The sequence below is a fragment of the Homo sapiens genome, chromosome 6 (assembly GCF_000001405.40).
Source record: "Homo sapiens chromosome 6, GRCh38.p14 Primary Assembly".
Classification (NCBI taxonomy): domain Eukaryota; kingdom Metazoa; phylum Chordata; class Mammalia; order Primates; family Hominidae; genus Homo; species Homo sapiens.
Window position 1 is genome coordinate 33,155,659 of NC_000006.12, and position 24,384 is coordinate 33,180,042.

Genomic DNA, 24,384 nt, shown 5'->3' on the forward strand with positions numbered 1-24,384 from the left:
GGCATGACTATTTTTAACAGTTCTTCTAGATTAGTGATTCCCAATTTTTTTAAATCTCAATTTGAAAAAAATCTCTCAATGTTTTAAGAGTATAAACCCCTTAAATTACTGAAAACACTGAAAAGCTTTACTTACAATATTGTTATTGATATTTACTGTATTCAAAATTAGAACTGAAAAAGATTTTTAACATGTATTAATTCTTTTTAAGATAGCAATAACAGGCAAGGCTCAGTGGGTCACACCTGTAATTCCAACACTTTGGGAGGCCAAGATGAGCAGATTGCTTGAGCTCAGGAGTTGGAGACCAGCCTGGACAAGATGGCAAAACCCTGTCTCTACAAAAAATACAAAAATTAGCCGGGCATGGTGGCTGGCGCCTGTAGTCCCAGCTACTTGGGAGGCTGAGGCTGGAGCATCGCTTGAGCCTGGGAAGCGGATGTTGCTGCAGTGAGTTGAGATCGTGCCACTGTGCTCCAGCCTGGGCGACAGAGCAAGACCATCTCAAAAAAAAAAAAAGCAATAATAAACCACTTTTGTATATGCTTAAATTTGTCCATAATAAAAGTAAACAAAAAGGACTTTAAATAAATTACGGAAAATGTAGATCTTTAAAGAATTAGAAGACCATCAGCTTTATTTGGATCATGAGTCAAACACACACACACACACACACACACACAAAACCTACAAAACAATCTTGGAAATCTGAACACTGACTGGATATTTGATGACAACAGGAATGATTATTAAAATTGTGGTAACAGAATTGTGATTACATTTTAAGAGTAAACCAGTAAAATCTTTAACAAAGACACAAGGAGGGCCCATGGATCCATTATGTACAGTAGCCACAGTGCCTAGGGCCCACAATACTCCCATGGCAATGTTTACATTTCTTTTAAAATAGAAAAAAAATTAAGGTTGAAGAAAATATTTTAATATATAATATTAATATAGTTGCCTGTGTATCAACACAATCATAAGTATGATTTCAAATTTATTGTTTAGAAAAGTGCATAGGGCCCGCAGAAGTCACAATGCAGCCCTGGATATAACGGCCATGAAAGTTTATGTGCTGAATCACAAAGTGGCAAAATATGAACTGGCAGAGATGTCGGCCTCTGAGGTTAGAGAGGTCATGGCCACAGCTGCTGAATGTGACTTTGGGTTGCCCATCCAGGAGATTGGGTGGCAGGGAGAGCAAATGTGATCATGAAGGGGCTGGTTGTATCACGCTGGTCAAATGCATACAAAGGAGTCTGTTTAGACAGAAGCGAAGAAGGGAAAGCAAGCGGACACCTCCTGGGGGCCTCAGGATCCCACATTATCTGGAAACAGTGCCCCCAACACCCCTCCACCTCCACCAAAAGGCATCCTACATACCTCTTGGTTGGTACACTGGGCCCTCAGCCACAGAAAATTGGTTCTCAGGGACAGAGATAACCCAAGCTAAGCCAATCAGATTGTCTCTCCATGACTTTGAACCATGGGGCCCAGAGACACAGAGGTCAAGAGCAGCTCTGCTGAGCGGTGAGTATCCACACTCCAGGGACAAAGTCCATGAGCCCCTGAGGTTCCCAGAACTGCTCTCAGTCTTCCCTATTGAGTCAACTCTGTCTTCAAATCCTGAGAAACCCAATATTTTTACAATCAATTCCTTTTGGAGCTTAAGCTATTCTGAATCAGATTTTGCGATTTGTAACAAGAAAATAATAATAGTAAGTATAGAGTTTTAACAGCACTAAAATCAAAAGTGGAAAAGGGACAGCAGCATGCCCCAGACACCCGTGTGTCAGCAATAACCAAGACATGGAGATGGAACCAAGACAGCTTGTCAGGTCCCTCCCCTCACTTTCCATTGCAAAGGCTGTCAGTAAAGGGGGAATTATTCCTTTACAGAGCAAGTATTATCCCACTTTGCAGGTGAAGAAACTGATGCTGAGGTTAAGTGTGCAACTCAGAAGCAAAGCATCCCTGACAAGCTAAGGGAAGGAGAACTCTCAGTTGGAAATACAGAGAGGCCCGCTGCCAGCTAGAATCAGTGCCACCTTTGGCCCTAAGTCTGCTCAACCCACCCAAAACTAGACCACCTGCCACTCAAACTCTTTTGTCTGAGTCCCTCTCTCCCCAGGGCCCCAATCAAACAGGGTGCTATTTCTCATCTTCTCCCTAACCCTAATGTCTCTGAAACATGTTTGTTGGGTTTGGGGTTTGTTTGTTTCTATAGATTTGCAGTTCTAAAAGTAAGGAAAACCTGCAGGTATTAATACAAATAACCACAACTGGGAAGGGATGGAATTATAAGAAATCTCTCCCAGCATTAGTAATACCAGTATGCCTTATTTCATGAGGAGAGCAGGCCGATTACCTGACCCAACAATATAGCCCAGGCCCGGGGGAGATGTGAACACAATGAGGAAGATATCTCTATGACCCACATTCTTTGGCCTGAGGCTCTGCCGGAGTCCAAGCCTGTTATAGGTGAAGTGGCCAAGACCTGGAACATGACCTTTACATGAGCTGCTGTACAGCCAGTGTGGCTTTTATCTGTTGTACTTTGGGAAATCATCCATGCCTCAGGAACCAAAAGTCCTTCAACCTAGAGTAAGGCGTTTTTAATAGAAAGAGAGGCCAGATAGGCCAGGCGCGGTGGCTTACGCCTGTAATCCCAGCACTTTGGGAGGCCGAGGCGGGTGGATCACGAGGTCAGGAGATCGAAACCATCCTGGCTAACACGGTGAAACCCCGTCTCTACTAAAAATAAAAAAAAATAGCCGGGCGTGGTGGCGGGCACCTGTAGTCCCAGCTTCTCAGGAATCTGAGGCAGGAGAATCGCTTGAACCCGGGAGGCGGAGGTTGCAGTGAGCCGAGATTGTGCCACTGCACTCCAGCCTGGGCGACACAGCGAGACTCCATCTCAAAAAAAAAAAAGAGAGGCCAGATAATCCCAGCACTTTAGGAGGCTGAGGCAGGGGGATCTCTTGAGCCCAGGAGTTTGAGACCAGCCTCGGCAACATGGAGAAACCACGTCTCTACTAAAAATACAAAAAATTAGCTGGGCATGGTGGCACTCGCCTGTAGTCCCAGCTACTCAGGAGGCTGAGGGGGAAGAATCACCTGAGCATAAGAAGTCAAGCCTATAGTGAGCCATGATTGCACCACTGCATGCTAGCCTAGGCAAGGGGAGTGAGACCCTATCTCAAAAACAAAAAACAAACAAAAAAAGAGAGGCCAGAGCGAAGTACACAAAATGGATTGACCTGCTCCTGCCAACTGAGGGAAAGCCAGACAGGGTGATATGCTGGCTCTCGCTGAAGCTGAGAGCTGTGTTCATTCTACCATCCTGGCCGTGTGGGGAGAGCCCTAAAGGAGAAGCCCATGTAGATATCCTTGGTCTTTATTCAAGGACTAGCAGGACAGGTCTTCCCTACTGAGATGGCAGTCTGCTGTCAGTGCCAGTTCCCATGAAACTACTCTGAAGATGAAAGAAAAGATAACAGAAGGCCAGTTATAAGCACTTAAGGTGACTTCTGCTTACTCTAGGTTTGAGTTGAGAAACATAGCTATGGCCTACACATGTACAGTCTGTGAACTGCACAGCTCGACAGAAAGAAGCTCCAGTGTGGCCCTGATGCTCCCTGCTGACCACACCACACTTGCAGGAAAATGGGCTAAACAACCACAAAACAAGGTGGCCACCAGCTACTACACAGAAACTTATTTCTGAGGCAGCTGGAGCCCTTTGTTTGTTTGTTTGTCTGTTTGTGATGGGGTATCTCTCTGTCACCCAGGCTGGAGTGCAGTGGCAAGAGCATAGCTCACTGCAACCTCAAACTCCTGGGCTCAAGTGAACCTCCTGCCTGAGTCTCCTGAGTAGCTGCAACTACAGGCACATGCCACCATGCCCAGCTAATTTTTAAATTATTTTTTTGTAGAGAAAAAGGGCCGTGCGTGATGGCTCATACCTGTAATCTCAGCACTTTGGGAGGCCGAGATGGGCAGATCTCTTGAGCCCAGGAGTTCTAGACCAGCCTGGGAAACAGGGCAAAATCCCATCTCTACAAAAAATACAAAAACTAGTGGTACATGCCTGGAGACCCAGCTACTCGGGAGGCTGAGGTGGGAGGATGGCTGGAACCCACGGAGGTCGAGGCTGCAGTGAACCTTGATCTTGCCACTCCACTCCAGCCTGAGTGACAGAGACCCTGTCTCAAAGAAAGAGAGAAAGAGAGAGAGAGAAGGAGTTTTGCTTTGTTGCCCAGGCTGAGAGCCTTGTTTTGACTCACTCCCTCCTCTGTCTCATCTCCACCCCCACCTGCCCTGGTCCATTCAAAACTACAAACCTCAGCATGCAAGACAGCCAAGGGAGGGCAAGAACAGCTCTGTGTAGCCCATGGCCTTCTAGGATATGTGGTGCTCCCAGGTACAGTGATATAAGTGGTCTGTAAGTTATTTTTATTTTATTTCACAAGTTATTTTTTAACCATAAGTTACAGATGCTAAAAATATAAGCCCAAAGCTGAAAAGCAGCTCCAAGGGTGTGACAGGCCAGAGGACCCACCCCACAGCCCTCCCTCTATACATGATCTCCCACGCGGTGGCTCACGCCTGTAACCCCAGCAGTTGGGAGACCGAGGCGGGAGGATCATGAGGTCAAGAGATCAAGACCATACTGGCCAACGTGAGGAAACCCCGTCTCTATTAAAAATACAAAAATTAGCCAGGCGTGGCAGTGCACACCTGTAGTCCCAGCTATCCGGGAGGCTGAGGCAGGAGAATTGCTTGAACCTGGGAGGCAGGGGCTGCAGTGAGCCGAGATGGCGCCACTGTACTCCAGCCTGGGCGACAGAGCGAGACTCTGTCTCAAAAAACAAAAAAAAACATGATCTCCCTGTGCGCCCCATCCCAAACCCTCCTCTCCTTCGCCACCATGCCAGCGCACAATTCCATCATATCACTTGCCTTTTCAAACACCATCTATGACTCTTAGTTTTTGGGTTCAAGTTCAACTCCTTCCATAAGCAGTCAATACTTTTCAGAATTTGGCCCCTCCAACAAGAGTTTATGTTCTGCCCCAATCAAACCCAAAGTAGTTCCCTAAAGCCTCTGCCTTTCTCTTCCCTATCTCCTCCCACCCCACCCAGAAGCCTCCATTGCCCACCAGCCAATGGAGACACTGCCACTACCCACAGGCCCAGAGGCCTGGGCACTTGCCCTGTTCACACCCAGCCCCACCCCAAAACCCCGCCTCTACAGCCCTGCCCTTAAACCCCTCCCACCCTTCCTTAGAGCCTGGCTCTAGCTTTCTGGAGGGGAGGAAGAAGTTAGCTGCCAAGAGAAGGCTGTGGGCCTGGCCTCCTCAACAGCAACTTGGCACAGACTCCCTCGTGAAACTGTTAGATGGGGTTGGTTGGCAGCACTGTGTAATTAAATAGGCTTTTGTGGATTGGCCTGGGGACTTAGCCGCCGTATATAAATGTTATTCGAGTGACTGTACAGCATTGTTTCCATGCAGAAAAGCCCTCGGAACTCAGAGCATCTGACCAAACGTGACCTTTGGGAAAGTCCTCTTGCTGTTCGGGGGGCGACCTCTGCGGGTTTGGCTCCAGCTGCAGAAAGAGCGCCAAAGAAATCTCAACTCCAGCCCGGCTAGGCTGGGAGTGGGTGCGGGAGAAACAGATGGGGGGCACCTATTTAGATCTGATCTTCTCTTAATGTGACCCTGAGAGGGAGGGAAGGGGGTGTCTGAAGCCCCTGGGCCTTGGATATTGAGATGGAGAGCATGGGTGATCCCAGAAAACCTATCCACCACCGGACCCCTGACAGATGAGATCAGGGGCTTCTTCCTCCATTCGGCCTTCGGGGTCAGGGGGTTCAGCGGGTGACAAGGGAGAGGCGTCTGAGGGACCGGGATTATTCAGCTGACCCGGTGCGGGGCCGCGTTCTCAGCGCGGGCACTAGGGGGCGGCAGAGGCGGAGGCGCCAGCGCCGAGGAGAGGCTTCCACCCTCGAGAAGTTTTTCCGCGCACCCGCCCGGGCCAGAGTGGCCGTCTAGACGCCCACGTGGGGCTTCCTGCGATCGAGAATGGGTTGGGACCGGGACGGCCAAGCCGATGCTGTCGGGGACACGCTGGGAGGAAGAAGTACGGGGAGGAGGGGCGGGGGCGCAGCCTACCCGGGCTCGGGCTCGGGGTGAAGGGCAGCCCTGCCAGGCCCGCCCCGAGGCCGCGGATGCGAAACCGGGACACAAAGGCACGCACTCTTGATTCTGGCGCCCGCGAGGAAGAGGGTTGAGGAAGAGGAAATTGGGATGAGGCCCTGGAACACGTTTTAATGCAGCGCCCTGACAGGCAGGAGCCAGGCAATACTGCTTGGGAATGTGAAGCCCCATGGGCACCAGCTAGGGGGTCCCGGCTGCGCGGCCAGCCTTGGAAGAGAGGACTTCTTGGACACCTAACCCGGAGGGAGCAGAGCTTCTGAGTGCCCAGGAGAGGGAGGCTAGGGAAGTGGGGGACAGTCAAGAGTGGGGGGACACAGGCAGGGACTGTGCGACTCCACCCAACACAAAGACTCAACGAGTATGCACGTGACTACACGTGAGTGTGGAGGGCTTGGCCACAGCCCTGTCTTCATGACAGCACAGCACAAGGCTGATGGGGAGGGATAAGGTGACCAGAGGTACAGATGCAGTAAATGTCTTGGAAGTGGGCCTCAGCCTCCCCATTTACAGAGATTAGACTGGGCTATGTAGCACCGTCCCACCCACACCCAGAAGCAATCGCACACCCGTGTCAGAAACTGGAGCCATAGGGACCCCAAACCCCTACCTGGTGTCCCTGGGGCATTGTTTGTAATTTTATGCTAGTCACCCAGGCTTTGTAAACTCTGGGCCCTGACACCCCAGCTGGACAGGGCTTGCAGGGTATCTGGATTAAGCCATACAATTCTGGTAACCACTTAGCTGGGAAGAGGAAGCATCAGATGGGTGTCGGGGGAGACTGAAATAACAACACAAGCAGTGACACAGACACCTGGGAGGAGACAATCACATTATTTAACCATCAGTCAGCATGGAAGCTGGGCACAGGGTCCTGGGAGTCCCTTCCATATGCCACACATTAACCCTTTAATTGCAGGATCAGGGAAAGTGAGGGGTGCCCAGGGGAGGGACAGGGGTGGCAATGAACATACTCAGTGGCTCAGGGCCATGGCAATTTACCAGCCAATATAGAAGAATTTTAATATTCCAGCCATCTGCGGGATGCAGCCCTGCACACACCCCACACTATTCCGTTTCTTCCCTGGGGGAGCATCCTGGCCCTCAAGTAGCAGGCAGTGCCTGCCAAACCCAGACCAAGTGGAAGAGACAGTGGGCACATGGGCCAGGCAGCCAACACCTGTGGGTTAGAGAGCCCCACCCTGGCAGAGTCAGAGCCCTGAGGCCAGGGAGACCACATATTCCAACTTTCACAGTGGGTGCGACAGGTGAGGTGGGAGGAAGGTGGGAGGGAGGTGGGGTTCAGCCCTGAAACCCCCCTACACACAGTCACTGAGGAAAGTCCTGACTCCAGGATGTGGGTGCCGGAGCCCACCCCCGAGACCCCTGTCTTCAACATCTGCTGATTTTTGTTGGCGTTTCTCTTTTTTGTTATTTTGCTTTCCACACTTTAAATAATTAATACAATTACTTTTAAATACAAAATACGCCATGTCCTTTCTCTTCTCTTCCATTTGTTTGGGGTGATTGGGAGGTGAGTTTTAAATAAGGGTCTCAGCTCTCTAACGGGTAACAGGCTCCAGGTGGGAGGGCCAAGAGCCCCAGATGCCACTCCTCCCGTGGGGTGTCCAGGCAACCACTTCACCCCTCCCCTGGCCTGCCCCGACTGAGGGCTCTCCACGCCCTGGCCCAGGGCTCCCTAGATAGTGAGGAGCCCTCTTGGGAGGTGGCACAGAGCTGATGTTGTGGGATTCCAGGTGGGCCTGGTTCCGAATGGACAGGATCAGACAGAGACGGTCCTATCCCATGAAGCAGACAGGCCCCAGCAGCACCCCTCCCCGCCTCGGTGGGGCTCCCAGGTCTGAGAAGGAGGCATCCAGCACTGGCAGCTGCTCCAGCACAGGCGTTCGCACCTCCAGCACCGTCCGGCCTTGCTGTGTCTTCAGGGGGAGACAAGGAAGAAAGTGTGAGCAGGATGGAGGCACCCCCCACCCTCTAACCTCAGGCCCAGGCTCACCTCTCCTCTGAGCACCTTGGCCCCATCAGGGTGACTCAGGATGTACAGACTGGCAGTGTCTATGTGCCCATGCGTGTGTGTTTGCTTCTCCCCCACCGTGTGCCTCTGCTGGGCAGCCATGTGCCAGTCTGTGTACACGTCTGCATTAACCTGTGTGACGCTGGTGTTTGTACCCAAGTGAACCTCACCCGATGGCTTCCATCCTTTCCACCTTCCTCACCGGCTTTTGAGCTCCCTCAGGCATCCCTGACAATCCAGCAGGACGGACTCCTCCCTGCTCCCCCTGGGTGCCCTGCCCAAGGGGTCTTCCCACCTCCTTCCTCCAGCCTGAGTCTGAGATCAGCCCCCAACCCAGCTCTTCCTGTTCCCACCTGGCAGCCATCTCTGAATTCTTTGACATAGGGGCTAGTCTCCGGGCTCAGCTCATCCTCATTGGCCCCACGGAGTCTCAGGGGACCGTCACGGGCTGCTCCAGAGCAGGGGTAGGAGACGTCCTGGTGGGCTGAGACGCTGAGCAGCCGCAGGAAGGTGAGCTGGACCACACCCACTGGGGAGCCCTCTGAGTCCACGTAAGAGAACTGGAAGGAGAGAGAGGGCTGGCCTCAGAGGGGGAGAGAGAGGGCTGGCCTCAGAGGGAGACAGAGACGGGCCTCAGGAGCATCTACGGCACCAGGACAGCTGAGCCAGAGTCATGAGCAGGGAATGGCTGGAAGGCAAGGGCTGGGAAAGAAGTGAGGGGCTGAGTGGGAGCCAGGAGACTGGGGGTACACGAAAGGCAAAGTGAGCATCAGAGGACCGGTGAAAAGGAAAAGAAGAAAGAGCTAAGAAGTGGAGAAGGGGTGGCAGGCTCCGGGGGGGGCAACAGCCAGGGGACTGTCACCAAAACCCAGAAACCACTAAGCCCTGAGGGGGTGCACTATGGGGCAGGGGAGGGGCAGCGAGGGGCCAGCTCTCACCTGCGTGACGTCATCCCTAGGCGTCACACAGGTCTCACCCCCTGCTGTGAAGTTGCAGAAAACTCGGAAGGCATCCCGAGCACAGCCCTGGTTGGGGTCGACCCAGTACTCTCCTGTTGGGTGAGGGAGAGGGGAGGTCAGGGCCACCTAGGTCCAGGCTCCAAGATGCTCTTTGCCCCCACATTCCCTCTTCCCTCCCAGCCCTCCCCATCATGCTCTTAGTCTCCTGGTCCTCCTCCCTCCCAGAGCCCTAGAATCTAGCCCTACTGCTGGATTCTACTGCAGCATCCTACTGCTGCAGCCCACTTTCATCACGTGACACCTCTGCCCCCAACAGTAACCCCAGGCCCTCTGACTGGAGGAGGTCCGAGTATGGACAGCCTCATACTGGGACAACATGTGGTTGCAGGCGCTCACACAGATTCATCTGTTCAGGTGCAAACAGGTGTGTGCACGTATGTATGTTTATCTGCTCCTGCAGACACTGGGCTGATAACCAACTGGTACACACTGACCCAGATCAGTTGCTAAAGTATTGGGATACTTCTGACCTGGTTAGTAAATAGCTGCAGTTCCCAGCCCCTCAGCCCTCACCCTTAACCCAACACCTTCACCAAGACTCCCCCAGCATCCATTCTGCTTGTTCAGTACCCATGCTGTTGGGGAGATGTTTGTGCACCCTGAGGCTAGCACTGACCATCGGGAAGCTCTGGGTGGCACAGCTTCAGGTCCTGGCAGGTGCGAGCAGGGCTGTCCTGGGTCCCTGTTGGCCGCCTCATCTGCTCGATCTCCTCCCGCAGGGAGTCGAGTGAGCCAAAGATCTCCTCCAGCCCCCCAGGACTGCCGGGGGCTCCCCCGGTCGGTATGGCCTCATCTTCCTGCATCAGACGGCTTCCATCCACCGAGCGCCGAGTCTTCTTGGGCATCTGAATGGGCAGTGGCTGGATCACCTCGCCTGGGGGACCCTGGGTGCAGGGACAGATGGAGAGGGCAAGAGACAAGGTTGGTGTGAGGGTGAAGTGTGGCAGCAGTGGAGCAGAGGGGTACGGCCCTGGGAGCAGCCCTGACTCCTCACTCACCGGGTGTCCTGGAGGGCCCTGCACACCCTTCTCTCCCTTGGGTCCGCCTGGGCCCTGACAAGGAATAAATCAGGTCATGGAGGGGTCAAGAGGTCAAGCATGGATCAAGGTCACAGAAAGATCAAATCAGCCTCCTGGCTGGAATAAGGGGCTCCTTGGGGGGAGTCTATTTGTCCTGGAGAGACATCATCAAGTCCAGAGGGGGTGGAGCAAAGGTCAGAGCTGAAGGGGGTCACTCACTGTGGCTCCTTTGGCTCCTTTGGGGCCAGCAGGTCCCTGTGAAATGAGGAACAAGAAAGAGACGGTCACTGCAGGGGAAGGACAGGACTCAGAGGAGCGGGGAGGCAAGGTCCCAAGTCCACAGGAGCCTCGGGTTACTACAGGAGGGGCAGTCTTGTGGGAATACTAGGACATTCAGAGCCCTGGAAGTATGGGGAGGAGGTACTGGTGGTGACAGGACAAATGGGGGACCCTGAGGACTATGCTTGTTAGGCTGGTAGTTCCATGGAAGTCGTTGGGAGGCTGTGGGTGGGCAGCAGAGGGGTTTAGGGGATTTTGTGGAGGAACAGAGGCAGTACTCACGGGGAGGCCGGGGGGACCTCCAGGACCAATGGGGCCGGATGCTCCTGGGATACCCTAGGAAGGGTAGTGGCTGGTTCAACTGGGTCCTCCTCCCACACCCTCCTGAGCACCTGCTCGCTTACCCACAGCTGAGTCCCAACTCCAACTCCACCCCTCTCCACCCCACTCTCAACCCCCACAACTTCCGGGACCATGCCCTCTACTCACCATCTCACCCTTCTGCCCAGGGGAGCCCTGAGGCCCAGGAAGTCCCCGATCTCCCTTCTCTCCCTGCTCACCCGGGGGCCCAATCAGTCCAATGAGACCTGGGTGGCCCTAGAGAAGGGTGCAGGCAGTCAAGAGAATGCAAAGAGGAGTCATGTGGATGGGGGAGAAGGGCCAAGAGGACATGGAGAGGGAGCCGGGCACAGGGTCCGTGAGTGGCCCTCACTGAGCAGGGACTCCCTGGGACTGGCTGCCGGAGGCCTGAAGCAGAGCAGTGGGCACTTGGGTCCCACAGGTTTCAGGGGCGAGGGTGATGGGAGAGACACCTGGCCACGTGTCTGTCTGTCACTCACCTTCTCTCCCTTGGCTCCAGCATCGCCCCGGAGACCAGGCAGCCCTGGGGGTCCCTGTGGAGAGATGGGAAGTCATTCTCTTAAGGGAGAGGTGGGACCAAGTTCTCCCCAACAGCCTCCACTTCCTCCAGGGCTTCAGCTCTGTCCCAGGGCACTGCCCTCACCCCTCACTCAGCCCAATCCCAGTCACTCACCACAGGACCTGGGGGCCCAGCCTGGCCTGTAGCTCCAGGTCGGCCTTGCTGACCCTGAAGATTTGAGGGGGCCACAGGGGTCAGGAGGAGCATCCCCACACTGCACCCCTCCCATGGCCCCTCACTCCCACCCCAGCCCAGCCCTTCCCTGCAGTGACTCACCACTGAGCCTGGGAGCCCCCTCAGACCATCAGGGCCAGGTTTCCCTGCTGGGCCTGCAGGACCCACCGGGCCTGTCTTCCCCGGGGCACCTATAGCGCCAGGATCTCCCTGAAACACACACAAGGAATGTGTCCTGAATGGCAGAGGAGTGGGGTGTGGGCAGGGGGCAGAGGGTCCAAGGTGGGAGGCAGGAGGCAGGGAGGAAGGGCCAAACTCTAGGAGCCCCTAGCGCAGGAACAAGTACAGGGAACGCCTGTCCCCATAAGGGCCCAACATGGGAGAGGTGGAGATGGGGTGGGCATCTGGAGACGGAGGCATCTGAGGGGTGGGAGGCGGAGGGGATGCTCCAGCACTAGGGCAGCCTGTCCCTCACCTTGGCTCCCTTCCCTCCTTGTCGCCCCTCGGAACCAGGCGAGCCAGCAGGACCCTGCAGGTGGAGTGGGAAGGAAGAGCACATGAGGCCGTGGGCAGCCAGGCTCAACTCTTCCCCCTTCCTGTCCTAGACACACACATACACATGCACACACACACGTGCATACACAGGGACACGCGCCGAGGGCCGATTCACAGATGTGCAGAACAGATACAGCTGTGACAGTTGTGAAAATACTGGGTAGTCTGTACATTTGGTGAAGGGCCACTTGCCCACACCCTACCTGGTGGCCCGTCTCCTGCCCCAGAAACTAAAAAGGTTCACCCCTGGCCCACAGAAAAGCTGGCCAGCCCCTCCTCCAGTTTCCATTCTGCTTTGTCAGTAACCACCACTACCCCTGGTGAAAACATACACACCAGAACCCAGGAACAAACATGCCCGAGATACCGCACACCCATCAACCCACCAGCTCCTGCACACACACTCGCCCAGTGCAATGAGATACCGCATACCCTTAAACCCACCAGCTCCTGCACACACACCCTGCCCCGGGCAATGAGATACCACACGCCCTTAAACCCACCAGCTCCTGCACACACACACACCCAGGGCAATGCAGACACCAGGCACCTCCCCACCCATCCCACCTGCCATTGCCCAGCCTCCACCCACACAGCCCAGGGACTGCCTCCCAAGGTCTCAGGGGTCCACCTCACTTACTCGCTTTCCAAGTGGCCCTGGGGGTCCATTCTCCCCGGTGGGACCAGGGGATCCCTAGGGAGAGAGGAATTGGGGTGGCTGAGTGTTTATCCTCCAGCCAAGGGACCCCTCAGGAGTGGGGCACAGAAGAGGGGTAAAGAGGATGAGGCTTGGGCTCAGGGGGGTGGTGGGGTCACCAGGCACTCACAGGCTGTCCTGGCTCACCATCCTCGCCTCGGTCACCCTTAGCACCATCCTGGCCCTGCAGAAGTGAAGCAAGGTCAGAGGTGGGCCCCCAACCTGGCTGGCATCACCTCCAAAACTGTCAATACCCCATCCCCTTGCCCACCCTGCCATACCCCCGGCTTCCCAATACCCAAGCCCAGCGGCCACACAGAGGACCCCCCCATAGAAGCCCCACCCTTTTTGCCCCTTCCCTTCTCTGAGTAAGACTCACCCGAGGGCCACCTTCTCCAGGGGGGCCAGGGTCACCAGGAAAACCAACAGGACCCTGATCCAGATGGAGAATAAGAGTCAGGGTCACAGCTCCCTAAGCCCACCCAGCACAGACGCCCACAGGCACACGCCACTGCCTCTCTAGAGGCAGTGCCCACCAGTACCCCCCAGGAAGAGGTCTCCTGCACCCCTTTCCCTACCACGTGCACTGCGTGTTGTCTAATTCCTCAAGGTATTAACTGCAGGGCATCTCTCACTTTCTCTCCGGATCCTAGACCCCAGGCATCCCTCTGGATGCCCCATTCCCAGAGCATCCCCCAAACTCCCGGGCTCCCCACACTCCAAGATCCTCCCTCACACACACCCATATTCCCAGGTCTGTCATTCACAGGGCCTGAGAGGACTCAGCCCCCACTGCCCCAAACTCACAGGGTTCCCTTTGGGGCCATCATCGCCTGTGGGGCCTTTAGGCCCTGGTGGCCCTGGCTCTCCTGGCTGCCCCGACTCTCCTTTCTCTCCACGTTCCCCGCGTGGACCCTGCAGAACAAGCGGAGGACACAGATGGCCCAGGGAATCTTGAAGATCAGGGATGCAGCCTCTGCTTCCGAGACACCTTCAGCCATCCCCTACTCCCCTCAGTGACAATGGGACATACACAGAAAGTCAAGCCTACAAGGGGAGTTCCCTAGTCCCCTTCCCTTCAAGAAAGGGGAAGAAGGGCTCACTCAGACCAGGGATCAGGCCTCATAGAGGATGGCAGGGAGCAGAGACTCTTGCTGCAGAGGAGTTCCAGCTCAAGGAGGTCACAGGAAAAGTGGAGGCAGGGTTGAGGCGGGTGACGGGGACTGGGGAGTAAGGCCTTGGAGCTGTCACTCACCTTGACACCTGGCTCGCCCTGGATCCCTGGAGATCCTGACTCTCCTGGTTCCCCCTGCAAAGAGATTAGAGTCAAAAACCTCCTCTCCTTCCCCAGCCAAAAAATTCTGATATTCCCCACATCTCATTCTCTTTTGTCTCCCCACCCAAAATTGGCAGAAATCCAACTCCCATCCCCCACTTCCATGACTGGTCCACTCACCCCCTTCCCAGTTACCTTCTCTCCAGGGGGACCCAGGTTCCCAACACCTCCTGGGGGACCTTGTGGGCCCTGGAAGAGGAACAGAAATAGGTGTCATTGCTTAGGATGGAGGTGCCATTTCAGGGGCAAAGTCCCAGATGAGCAGCCCAAGGTTACAGCAGTGAGGCAGTGGAGGCCTCCCGGGAGTAAGGGCTTCTCTTGGCCCCTGAGACGATACTAGAGTTTATGGTCTGGGAAAGGGAGGCAGAAGACCAGACACATTGGTCTCAAGGGACAGGGGCTGAGATGACTCACATCAGCGCCATTGGGTCCAGCTGGACCTCGAGGTCCTGGGGGGCCAGGTGGTCCCTGGGGGAAACAGATACACCACAGATGAGGAAGGGAAGTGAGATGGCTGAGCATGAATGGTGGAGAGAGGAGGAGGAGCAGCCAGGCCAGGGAGTTGGCAGTGGGGTGTGGGGTGGGGGCTGGCCAGGGAGGGGGGTGACTAGTATGGTGGCTAGGGTCAGTAGGGGTCACACTCACCATAGGACCCACATCTCCTGTTTCTCCCTTCTCCCCAGAGGGGCCTGGCAAACCCTGTGCAAGTATACAAAACATGGGCCCAGGTGACGACCCCACCCAAAGCACAGCCCTAGGCAGATAGGCCCCACAGTCCCCTCCCCTCAGACTCCGCAGGCCCTCCAGTCTGCATCGGCAGGCTGCTGGCAGAGTCTGGGGCAAAACATCACCCCATCCTGACCCCACCTCTCAGCCCCTGTCCTATCCCCCAACACACCTGTAGGCCAATGGGTCCTGGGGGCCCATTGAATCCTCTTGTTCCTTCATCACCTTTGGCTCCAAAGTGTCCCTGGGGTCCCCGAGCTCCGGGCTCCCCATCTGCTCCCTGCAGGGTTGAGGGAAAGCAGAGACAAGGACACAGGGATGGGTCATGGGTCAGGTGTTCTCTATCCACAAATACCACACACAGCTGGGTGCCAGGCCCAGAGCCCCTGCTCCCACTCCCAGCCACAAGGGCAGAGGGGAGCTGAGGGAGGACCAGAGGCTGCTGGGCCTTCGGTGGGGGTGGAGGGGTCACTCACCGCTGCTCCAGGCTGCCCCACAGGACCAATGGGTCCAGGGGGTCCAGGAGGGCCCTGGGTAAGAGAAGAGAGTCAGAGACACCAAAACAGGGAGAGAGATCAGGTGGGACTGAGGTTAAAGGCCAGGAGGTCAGAAGTCAAGGTCATGGACACTTACATGTTCACCCTTGTTCCCTTTGGTGCCCTTCTGTCCGGGGTCCCCCACCTCACCCTGGGAGGAGAAGGCAGACAAGATATTAGAGAAAGGTGATGGGTAGAGTGGGAAGGATGACATGACAGGGGCCAGGGGTCATGCCCAGGTCAGCCATCTCATCTGGAAAGAAGATTGGTCGGGGTCTGTGGGGTCCCCTCACCTTGTCTCCATCCTCTCCAGCCACACCTGGAGGCCCAGCAGGACCAGGAAGCCCCACAGGACCCTGCACTCCATCTCGGCCAGTCGGGCCAATGGGGCCCTTCTCACCCTGTGGGACAGGAGGAAGGAGTCATGGCCTGGAGGTGACCCTCACCCTCAAACACCCCACAGGAAACTTGTCATAGCCCATCAACCCTAGGCTCACAGACCCCTCCCCAGTACCCCTCCCCAATACCCCCACACTCACTGGGACACCTTTCTCTCCTGCTGCTCCAGGGGGACCCTGCGGGCCTGGGCGCCCTGGCGGACCAATGGGTCCCCCTGATCCTGCTGCACCTCGTTCCCCAGGGGAGCCCTGAGAAAGCAGATGGTCAGACCCCCAGGAAGGAGACACCAGCCCGCCCATACCAGAGAACCTCAGACCACAATTCCCAAAAGCTCCCAAAATCAGATGCATTCTGGCTGTCCCTGGACAGCCTCTGCCCAGCCCCACAGCCCCTGGTGGTATCAGAATGCCACTCCCACCCTTCCTCACCCACCCCTTTCCCGGGTCCTTCCTACCACTTCCGGAACCCCAGACTCACTGCAGGGCCAGGGGGGCCAGACGGACCTTCATTCCCCTTCAAACCAGGTCCACCCTATGAACCAGACATTTGGGGAAGATGAGACTTCACGAAAAGAGAAGGGTGAGAGCTGGAGAGGGAAGACAGGCTCCAAAAGATGGAAGTGGGGAGTGACATGGAGGGGGTCAGGGACAGGGTCGGGGTGGGGACTCAGGATGCTTGGTGCTTGTGACAGGCAGGGGTCTGGGAGTCACACTCACAGCAGTGCCTGGGAGGCCTCTCTCTCCTGGGAATCCCCTCAGACCAGCAGGACCATCCTTCCCTGGGGCCCCAGGGGGACCAGGGTCACCCTAAAAGGAAAGGAGAGGTGATGAGCCACAGCCATGCTCCCAAATTAAACAGAGAGCTCTCCAGCCCCCCCTCAAATCTCCAACTACCTGTTCCTTTCAGCACCCCAATCCCCAGCTCCCCCACTTCCCCTCTGCCTGGCCCCTCACTGACCTTTGTTCCTTCTTTTCCAGCTGTCCCAGGTAGTCCCTGCTCTCCAGGGGGCCCCGGGGGGCCTGGGTGACCTCTCTCCCCCATAGGGCCGGTTTCTCCTGCTGCTCCCTAGACAAAAGCAGAGAGAGTTCCTGCTCTCAGGCCCTTCATCTCGCTGTCTGCCAGAAGAGCCCACCCTGGCCACCCTAAAACACTCCTTCAGAACCCCTTTATCCCTGCCCCAAAGCTCCTGGGAAATTCCCCGGCATTCCTGGGCCACTGCTGGGTTTTCTCCTGCCCCATGTGGAGTAACTACACCACCTTGTGTCTCTGTTGGGGAACTGCCTCTCCTGGGGGACAAGACGATGAGAATGCGCCCCAAAACAGACTGAAGTTCAGGACCCCTGCCTGAAATCCCAGCCCCCACCATTGACCCCAGCCCCAGGAGTCTGGGTCAGGTGGACCGGGGCAGGGGCGTGTGACCGAGAGAAGAGGGGCAGACAGACTAATGCTAGGGTCAGGGGTCCATTCTCTCCTAGGGACAAACCTACCTGAGGTCCCACCACTCCTGGAGGACCAGGGGGGCCGGTCTTCCCTTGGAAACCCTAGGCGAGGAAGAGAGGAGAATGCAGTGAAAGCAGGTGTGGGCGCTGTGGGGCAGATTCCCAGGAGGAAGGATCCCAGGCAGGATCACACCAAGCCCTGGGCCCTGGGTCTGAGCAGCACCAGGGCAGGCTCCACTCTGCCAGGAGAACGTCCCTGTGGGCTTTCCAGACAGCTCTGGGGTTAAAGGGTCTGATGGAGCCCCCTGAGAATGGGTAGCCAGGAGCATCACTCACCACTTCTCCTCTTTGGCCTGGGTGTCCCGGCAGCCCATCCTTCCCAGGGGGGCCCTGGAAGGGGTTCAGTTGTCAGGTGAACTCTCAGCTGGAAAGCAGGTAGGGAAGAAGGACTCAGAGAAGCGAGGTGGGTCAGAGCTCGGGGTCAACTTACCGGGGGTCCTTTCGGTCCAGGAAACCCGTTGGGACCCTGAGGTCCAGGGAGGCCCTAGAGACAGAGGTGGGGGGAGTCAGGAGAATGGGGGCAGGGGCTGAGTGGGGGAACTCAGCTTCCTTCCTGGGGTGAGGAGGGAGCTGGCTCACCCAGGCTCCCTGGGGACCTCAGGGGAAGGGGACTTTCGATCCACACTCACCCTCTCTCCAGGGGGCCCATGGGGGCCATCACCACCAGATGTTCCCTGTGGGGGGAAACAGAGTCAAGGAGTGGGAAGAGCTGCTTTCCAGCTGTCCCCGAGGTCAGGATGTTGAGGGAGAGCTGGGGCTGAGTGGGCAGGGGGCAGTTGGAGCCTTGTAGAGACCATTCACCTTAGCTCCAGACTTCCCAGTGGCACCTCGGGGTCCCCGCTGACCCCGTGGACCCTACAGAGGGAAGAGGAGTTGTCAGAGAAACCCAAATGCCCCCCTCTGGACCTTGAGCCACCTGTTTCTCTCCCCTGCACTCACCGTGGGGCCCCGTTCTCCCCGAGGCCCTGACTTCCCCGACAGGCCCTGGTGGGAATGAAGCAGAGAGAACATTACCCAGGGTGAGACTCCCCACAGACCCCCTCTACACCTCTCCAGCCCTTCCCTTCTCACGCCCTCCCACCCCCCAGCTTACCCGGGCTCCCTTCTCTCCACTGGCACCAGGAAAGCCAGGAAATCCTAGGGACCCCTGGTGAGAACGGAGAAGGGGGGAAATTGAGAAGTTATGAAAGGTAGGGTTCAGGAAGGGGCAAAGGGGGTCAGGAGAGGCCACAAAGGCAGTGGCCAGGGAGACCCGAGCTCTGCCAAGAACTAAGTGGCCTTGGACAAACCCCTGCTGCTCTCTGGGCCTCTTTCGGTCATCTGTAAAATGGGGGTCAGCTAAATTCCCTCTGGGGTCCCCCACTGCCCTGCATCTGTGCTTTCTGGAATCAGGGATCAGGGAAGCGAAGAGGAGGAGGGAAGAGGAGGAGGGGCACGTATGGGGCATGGCATCACCTTGGGTCCCTGACGTCCAGGATAGCCAGGCAGACCAGGAACACCCAGCTTGCCCTGTGGAGGGACAGGAAGCAGTTAGGAGTGAGAGGAGGCCCAGATGCCACTCCACCCCTGGAGACCTCAACCCTCACATATAACAGCCAGCCCCCACCCAGCAACACACCCCACACACCCCAGCCTCTAGCCCCTCATTGCTTGCCCCACAGCTGCCTGACTTTTGTTGTCTCTCCTTCCCGTGAGTGGATTTTCCCCAATTCTAGTGCTGGGATCCCACCTCCCCTGCGCCTACAGAGGTATCAGGTCCTTCAGGGTCACTGTGATCTAGCTGCTTCCCACATGTCAACCTCAGCTCCATCTACCCCATGAGGGAGGTGGGATCTACCCCAGCACCCACTCCTGCTTCACCAAGACCAATCCCCCTGCAGGCCCTTTGCCCACCACACCCCGACTCCCGTGCATGCCCCCTTCCCCAGAGGCTCCAGGGCTCATCCTGCCCAGGCAGCTGCAGAGCAGGGCTTAGAAGCAGAGATTCTGAAGCCAGACTGCCTGGGCATAACCCCTGGCTCTGCCCTTCACTGGCCATGTAATCAACAAGCATCCCTGTGCCTCTGTAAAACCTCAGCAAAACAGTACGTCACATGCCTACCTCATAGGATAGATAGGACGCATCAGCACAGCACCTGGCACAGGGCAAGTGCTGGGGAGAGTCAGCTCTGGAGACCACAGACCTCACTGCTATTAGACTCTCTCATCTCAGAACTCCTGCTGCTTGGAGTCCGAACGCATGTTCACTCTGCCTTGAAGCAACAGCTACTCTCTAAGCTTCGTCTCCGTCCAACTCTTCGTGTCAGGGACTTTTCCCTGACTTCTTATATATCCCCTCTGCCCATCAGCAGCTGAGAGATGCCATTTACACAGACAGAAGTATGACTAATGCATGGCCATCTTCAACTGACTGGCTGACTTCAGCGGCGGGCACCCATGCCCATCCTGACCCCAGTGCCCACACCCCCAGAGGACCCAGGCACAGAACCCTCATCCCATCACCTTCTCGCCCATGAGCCCTGGGGGCCCAGGGTCTCCAGTCGGTCCAGTGCGTCCCTTTGGCCCCTCAGGACCATCCTCTCCCCTGGAACCAGGGACTCCAACTTCGCCCTGTGTGAGAGGGAAGGACAGGTGAGTGCTGGGGACTGGAGGTGGGCTCTGGGCCCAGAGGAGAAATGGGCAACAGTGAGGCTGAGGAGGGCTAGAGGGGTCCCAGGAGCCACTGCAGGACAGGAAGCCCACAGGGTAGGGATAGTGTAGTGATGGGAGGGCAGGCATGACACAGACCATGGGGCTATCATCCTGTAGGGGTCAGGCTCCCAAGGGAACACAGCACTGGAACTGTGGAGTCTGGAGACTCAGGAGAATAAACCGGTGCTTGGCGTCTCCAGAGTGGAGGCTCAGTAGAACACGGAATTGGGGCCAGTGTGGGGTCTCTACTCACCCTGTCACCTTTCACGCCTATGTCACCTTTGAACCCAGGAAAGCCATCCTCACCCTGAGAAAGATAGAGGTGAGAGGGCACCACAGATGACAGAGGGCTGGGGTTCTAATGGGAATTCTGAGAACATAGGTGGAAGCAGGGGCTCGGGAGCTGGACGGCAGTGCGGGGCAGGCTGGAGGGAAGGCAGTGAAGAGAGGAGATGGCAGGACTGAGGTGCTGGGAAGCTGGGGGCATGGTGCTCACCTTCTCACCCTTATGACCCTTCAGACCCCGAATTCCGTCCACACCCTAGAATTAGAGAGGGGATAGAAGTAGACTGATCAGGGGATGGAGGTGGGTTGGAAGGACCAAGCTCCTAAGACCCCATATAGCTCCCCTGACCACAGCCCTTTGTCTCCCAGCCTGGTGGTCAGTTACCTTGACCCCTCGAGGTCCTGGGTATCCTAGAGGTCCCTGAGGTCCAGAGGGACCCTGGAAGATAAAAGAGAGGCATTTATAAAGGGGCCTCAGAGTGTCACTGTGGGGGCCTCCAGGGGTGGAAGAAATGGAAGTAACAACATTGCTGTCTGGGTAGGGTTACGGGGCACAGGAATTGAGAATGTGGCAGAGCCATATGAATAATGAGACAAGGGAATCCCAAGGACTTTGAGGCTCTAGAGTCTGAGTGGAGACTCCCTCAGGGGATAAAGACATGGAAGATCTCACCTGGTTTCCTTTGGTTCCAGGGGGACCTTCCTTCCCTGGGTGACCCTGGGAGTAAGGGATAGAAAATGTGACCAGTGGCCCCTGTCACCCTCTCTGCACCCCTCCCTACACTTCTTCCAACCCAAATTTCCTGTGACCTAGTGAAGCCAACTGTCCATGGACAAGCACCACCAGTGACCTTTCAGTGCAAGGGTCACTAAAGGAGCTCTGAGGTCATGCACTGGGGTGGAAGGCCAAGGGGAACTGGATTCGGAAGTGGGGTCCCACTCACCGGGGGTCCGTCTGAGCCAGGCATGCCGGGGAGCCCTGGCTTCCCTTGAGGACCCTGCAGGAAGACAAAGAGGCTCAGGGTCACTAGAGGGGTCATGTCTGGACACAGACAAAATCCCAGCAGACATTTAGGGTTCTCCCTACATCCCCACTCTAAACCCCCTGTCCTCCAAATCACTTAGTCACTTACCTTCTCTCCATGAGGGCCGATGGCACCCTGGGGCCCGGGAAGACCCTACATACAGGGAAAGAGAAGTCACAGGGGCCTCCCAGGGTCTCTTCTATCCAGCCTCCCGGATTCAAAGCATGAGCAACAAGGGCCTGAAACCCTTAATTTCCTGTATCCTTCCAGGGTCTCACCCATTGTGGAAGCCCAAGGGAAGTCATGAAAATTGGGGAACGGAGTAGGGGCACCGCTCACCTGGGTCCCAGGGGTGCCCTGTTGTCCAGGAGGTCCTGGCTCTCCCTGGGGTCCCTAGAAACAGGTGACCAGGCACAGGTCAGAAGGAGATGGAGATAGAACACATTTAGAGCATGGAGCTGAGTCCCAGCAGCGATAGCCAAGAAGGCAAGAGCAGGAAGCAGGCAGGGGTCAAAATGGCGGCCAACAGGATGCTGGCAGGGACCTCGGGGGATAAGAATGGGGGTGGGATCTCCTATCCATCACTCACCAAGCTCCCTTTGGGGCCCTGGGGACCATCCATGCCTCGGACGCCCTGAAACACAAGATGGGTGTGAGCAGCCTGAAGGTGGCCCGGAGGGACCTGTGGTTTTCAGAGGCCCGGCCATTCCCGAGGGTGTGACGGTCAGACCTCCAATCCATCCCAAACCCAAGCAAACACAGCTGGCCCAGGCCTGCAGTGTGTGGGACTGTGGATCTGTGGGCTTGTGGGCTTTGGTTTTGTTTTTCTTGAAGATTTATTTCCTATGCCCAGAGCCCTCAGGGCACCACGCCACATGGCCCTCCCTGTGCACGGGGAGCGAATGCTGAGGCAGGGCAGTGTGGGGCCAGAGCAGGGGGAGCTCACAGGGAATGGGAAGCATGCCGAGAGAGGAGAGGGAGCAGGAAGGCAGCTAGAAAGGTGGAGAGTTGGAGAGGTCAAGGGGTCACCTCAGGGTCAGAAGTCAGGGAGTCACTTACAGGGGGTCCAGGAATACCAGGTGGGCCTTTGGGGCCAAGGAGACCTCGAGGTCCCTGCATTCACGGTGAGGGGAGGAGACGGCATGAATGGATAAAACTGTGTCCCTTTAGTGCTCATGTCCCCCTCCTGGCTTCCCCAGAGCCCCCTCCCCCAGCACCAGCCCTTGGACACTCACCGACTCTCCAGGCAGCCCTCGAGGCCCAATCTCCCCGTCATCTCCCTGGAGGAGGAGGACACGGTAAAGCTGCTGTGCCTTCTAGACCTCCCCTGCACCCAGCCCCTACATTTGCCACTACACTTACCCTCTCTCCATCCTCACCAGGGGGACCAGGAAGGCCCTGGGCACCAGTATCACCCTGCAAAATGGGGGAACTCATAAGAGGGGCTTCAGAGCCCCCAACACAGGCAGACACCGAACCTCTGCACTTAGCCCATCCATTACTTTCACTGAGCTCCTGCCAAGCCTCCAGCCTCCCTTCCCTACCTATCCTCACTCCCATAGAAGATCTATCCCCAATTACAACACACACCCACTAATGTACTCACCCTATGGCCCTTCTCTCCAGGGAGCCCTGGGAGTCCATCAAAACCTCGGTCACCCTAGGAGGAGGAAGGATAGCCAGAGTGAGGACACGACCCTGTCCAAGCCCACCCCTCCCTACTGCACCCTGAGCTGGGGGGGTGCTGATCCTGGGGAAGCCTGGAGAACTAGGTCATCCCCAAGAAACAACTGAGCCCAGCGTGGGCTGAAGGCTACAGGCTTCAGGGAGGGGCCCAAGCCTGTTACCTTCACTCCAGGATCTCCAGGCATCCCTCGGGCTCCATCAGCACCTGCCCGGCCCTGGGAGAACAAGGGAAGTGTCAGAACAAGCAGGGCCGCAGTCCCCTACCCTGCAGGCCCTGTCTCCCCACAACACCCATCCACCCCTGGGGCACTCACCCTTCGCCCAGCCTTGCCAGGAGGGCCTGTGAGGCCCTGAGGTCCTCTGGGGCCCTGGTGAGAGGAGAGATGGGGTGGGGTTAGGAGGCATAGGGAGGGGAGTGAGGGAGACTGAGCTGGTGAACAGATATGGGGGTGCAGTGGAGGAAAGTGGTCACCTGAGGTCCTAAGTCTCCAGACTCTCCTTTCAGGCCAGGGCTCCCAGGTTGGCCCTGGGAGAGAGAAGAGAGGATGGCCGTAAGGAAGGACACAGCCAACAGTGGCCTCGGAGTGTTCCCCAAAAGAAGCCCCTTTCCAGAACTATCCACACCCCACACACAATTAAAGCATCCTCCACCCGAGCACCCTGCTCACTCACCAAGGGTCCAGGGCGCCCTGTGTATCCCATGGGGCCAGGGGGTCCACGGAGCGCCAGCTAGGGGAGCAGGGGGACAGCAGAGCTGAGGGACAGGCAGTGGGAACCCCCAGCCCCAGCACTCTCCAAATTCACCCTTCCTCTCCTGATCCTCATCCACTGCCCAGGATTCTCCCCAACCTCCCTGTTAACCCCAAACCAACCCAGGCCTCCCCTGCCGCACACTCACTCCAGCCAACCCTTCCAGTGCCCCCCAGAGCCTTCCCTTTCCAGGGAAGCAGCCCCACTCACCCTCGCCTGCTGCAGGATCGCCTGGGCCTGAGCCTCCTGGGCCGCCACCACAGGGCCCTTGTCACCCCCACCACTGCCAAACCGGAACTGAGGTCAAGGAGAGAAGGTCCAGGTTCTCTTCCAAGAAAGCCATGGGACCCTCCCAGCCAGAGGCTTTCTCCAGCGTTTCTGCCCCTTGCCCCAGGTTCTGCCCATCCAGCATTTCCCATGGCTTCCAGATAATCACTTAGAGGATTCCAGAAACTCAACTCCTGCCCTCCTCCACTGTCCAGCCTCTGCCTCCAGAAAGACTCTCTTTTGGTTCTAGAGCTCCTGAAATATAGG

General features: G+C 56.6%; 1 protein-coding gene across 14 annotated transcripts in view, besides 1 other annotated feature; it reads right to left on the bottom strand.

Annotated features, from left to right (window-relative positions):
- Positions 7,036–24,384, bottom strand: part of COL11A2 (collagen type XI alpha 2 chain) — a 30,826-nt gene continuing 13,477 nt past the window's right edge. For 13 of the 14 annotated variants that reach the window (NM_001424111.1, XM_047418183.1, XM_017010250.2 and 10 more), the window contains 54 exons: positions 24,061–24,147; positions 23,773–23,829; positions 23,573–23,626; positions 23,415–23,468; positions 23,262–23,315; positions 23,021–23,074; positions 22,777–22,830; positions 22,650–22,694; positions 22,474–22,527; positions 22,004–22,048; positions 21,754–21,807; positions 21,523–21,567; positions 21,334–21,387; positions 21,063–21,107; positions 20,775–20,828; positions 20,601–20,645; positions 20,358–20,411; positions 19,916–20,023; positions 18,869–18,922; positions 18,507–18,560; positions 18,353–18,397; positions 18,215–18,268; positions 18,043–18,087; positions 17,844–17,897; positions 17,690–17,743; positions 17,402–17,455; positions 16,872–16,979; positions 16,631–16,720; positions 16,392–16,445; positions 16,055–16,162; positions 15,809–15,916; positions 15,613–15,666; positions 15,456–15,509; positions 15,152–15,259; positions 14,899–14,952; positions 14,668–14,721; positions 14,389–14,442; positions 14,173–14,226; positions 13,725–13,832; positions 13,297–13,350; positions 13,048–13,101; positions 12,861–12,914; positions 12,141–12,194; positions 11,768–11,875; positions 11,606–11,659; positions 11,412–11,465; positions 11,062–11,169; positions 10,855–10,908; positions 10,513–10,548; positions 10,273–10,326; positions 9,891–10,158; positions 9,194–9,306; positions 8,609–8,815; positions 7,036–8,160 (listed from right to left, as the gene is read on the bottom strand). In NM_001424111.1, the coding sequence (NP_001411040.1) occupies positions 8,020–8,160; positions 8,609–8,815; positions 9,194–9,306; positions 9,891–10,158; positions 10,273–10,326; positions 10,513–10,548; positions 10,855–10,908; positions 11,062–11,169; positions 11,412–11,465; positions 11,606–11,659; positions 11,768–11,875; positions 12,141–12,194; positions 12,861–12,914; positions 13,048–13,101; positions 13,297–13,350; positions 13,725–13,832; positions 14,173–14,226; positions 14,389–14,442; positions 14,668–14,721; positions 14,899–14,952; positions 15,152–15,259; positions 15,456–15,509; positions 15,613–15,666; positions 15,809–15,916; positions 16,055–16,162; positions 16,392–16,445; positions 16,631–16,720; positions 16,872–16,979; positions 17,402–17,455; positions 17,690–17,743; positions 17,844–17,897; positions 18,043–18,087; positions 18,215–18,268; positions 18,353–18,397; positions 18,507–18,560; positions 18,869–18,922; positions 19,916–20,023; positions 20,358–20,411; positions 20,601–20,645; positions 20,775–20,828; positions 21,063–21,107; positions 21,334–21,387; positions 21,523–21,567; positions 21,754–21,807; positions 22,004–22,048; positions 22,474–22,527; positions 22,650–22,694; positions 22,777–22,830; positions 23,021–23,074; positions 23,262–23,315; positions 23,415–23,468; positions 23,573–23,626; positions 23,773–23,829; positions 24,061–24,147 (3,852 nt within the window). In that variant the 3' untranslated portion in view covers positions 7,036–8,019. Of the gene's footprint in view, positions 8,161–8,608; positions 8,816–9,193; positions 9,307–9,890; positions 10,159–10,272; positions 10,327–10,512; positions 10,549–10,854; positions 10,909–11,061; positions 11,170–11,411; positions 11,466–11,605; positions 11,660–11,767; positions 11,876–12,140; positions 12,195–12,860; positions 12,915–13,047; positions 13,102–13,296; positions 13,351–13,724; positions 13,833–14,172; positions 14,227–14,388; positions 14,443–14,667; positions 14,722–14,898; positions 14,953–15,151; positions 15,260–15,455; positions 15,510–15,612; positions 15,667–15,808; positions 15,917–16,054; positions 16,163–16,391; positions 16,446–16,630; positions 16,721–16,871; positions 16,980–17,401; positions 17,456–17,689; positions 17,744–17,843; positions 17,898–18,042; positions 18,088–18,214; positions 18,269–18,352; positions 18,398–18,506; positions 18,561–18,868; positions 18,923–19,915; positions 20,024–20,357; positions 20,412–20,600; positions 20,646–20,774; positions 20,829–21,062; positions 21,108–21,333; positions 21,388–21,522; positions 21,568–21,753; positions 21,935–22,003; positions 22,049–22,473; positions 22,528–22,649; positions 22,695–22,776; positions 22,831–23,020; positions 23,075–23,261; positions 23,316–23,414; positions 23,469–23,572; positions 23,627–23,772; positions 23,830–24,060; positions 24,148–24,384 lie in introns of those variants that run through there. The other variant, NM_001424112.1, reaches the window with a different exon arrangement.
- Positions 8,242–8,743: an enhancer, noted in NCBI's record as "H3K4me1 hESC enhancer chr6:33131677-33132178 (GRCh37/hg19 assembly coordinates)". NCBI's record gives its function as "activates a minimal SCP1, AML or CMV promoter by ChIP-STARR-seq in primed H9 embryonic stem cells {active_cell/tissue: H9 hESC(primed)}" and the evidence as "EXISTENCE:reporter gene assay evidence [ECO:0000049][PMID:30033119]".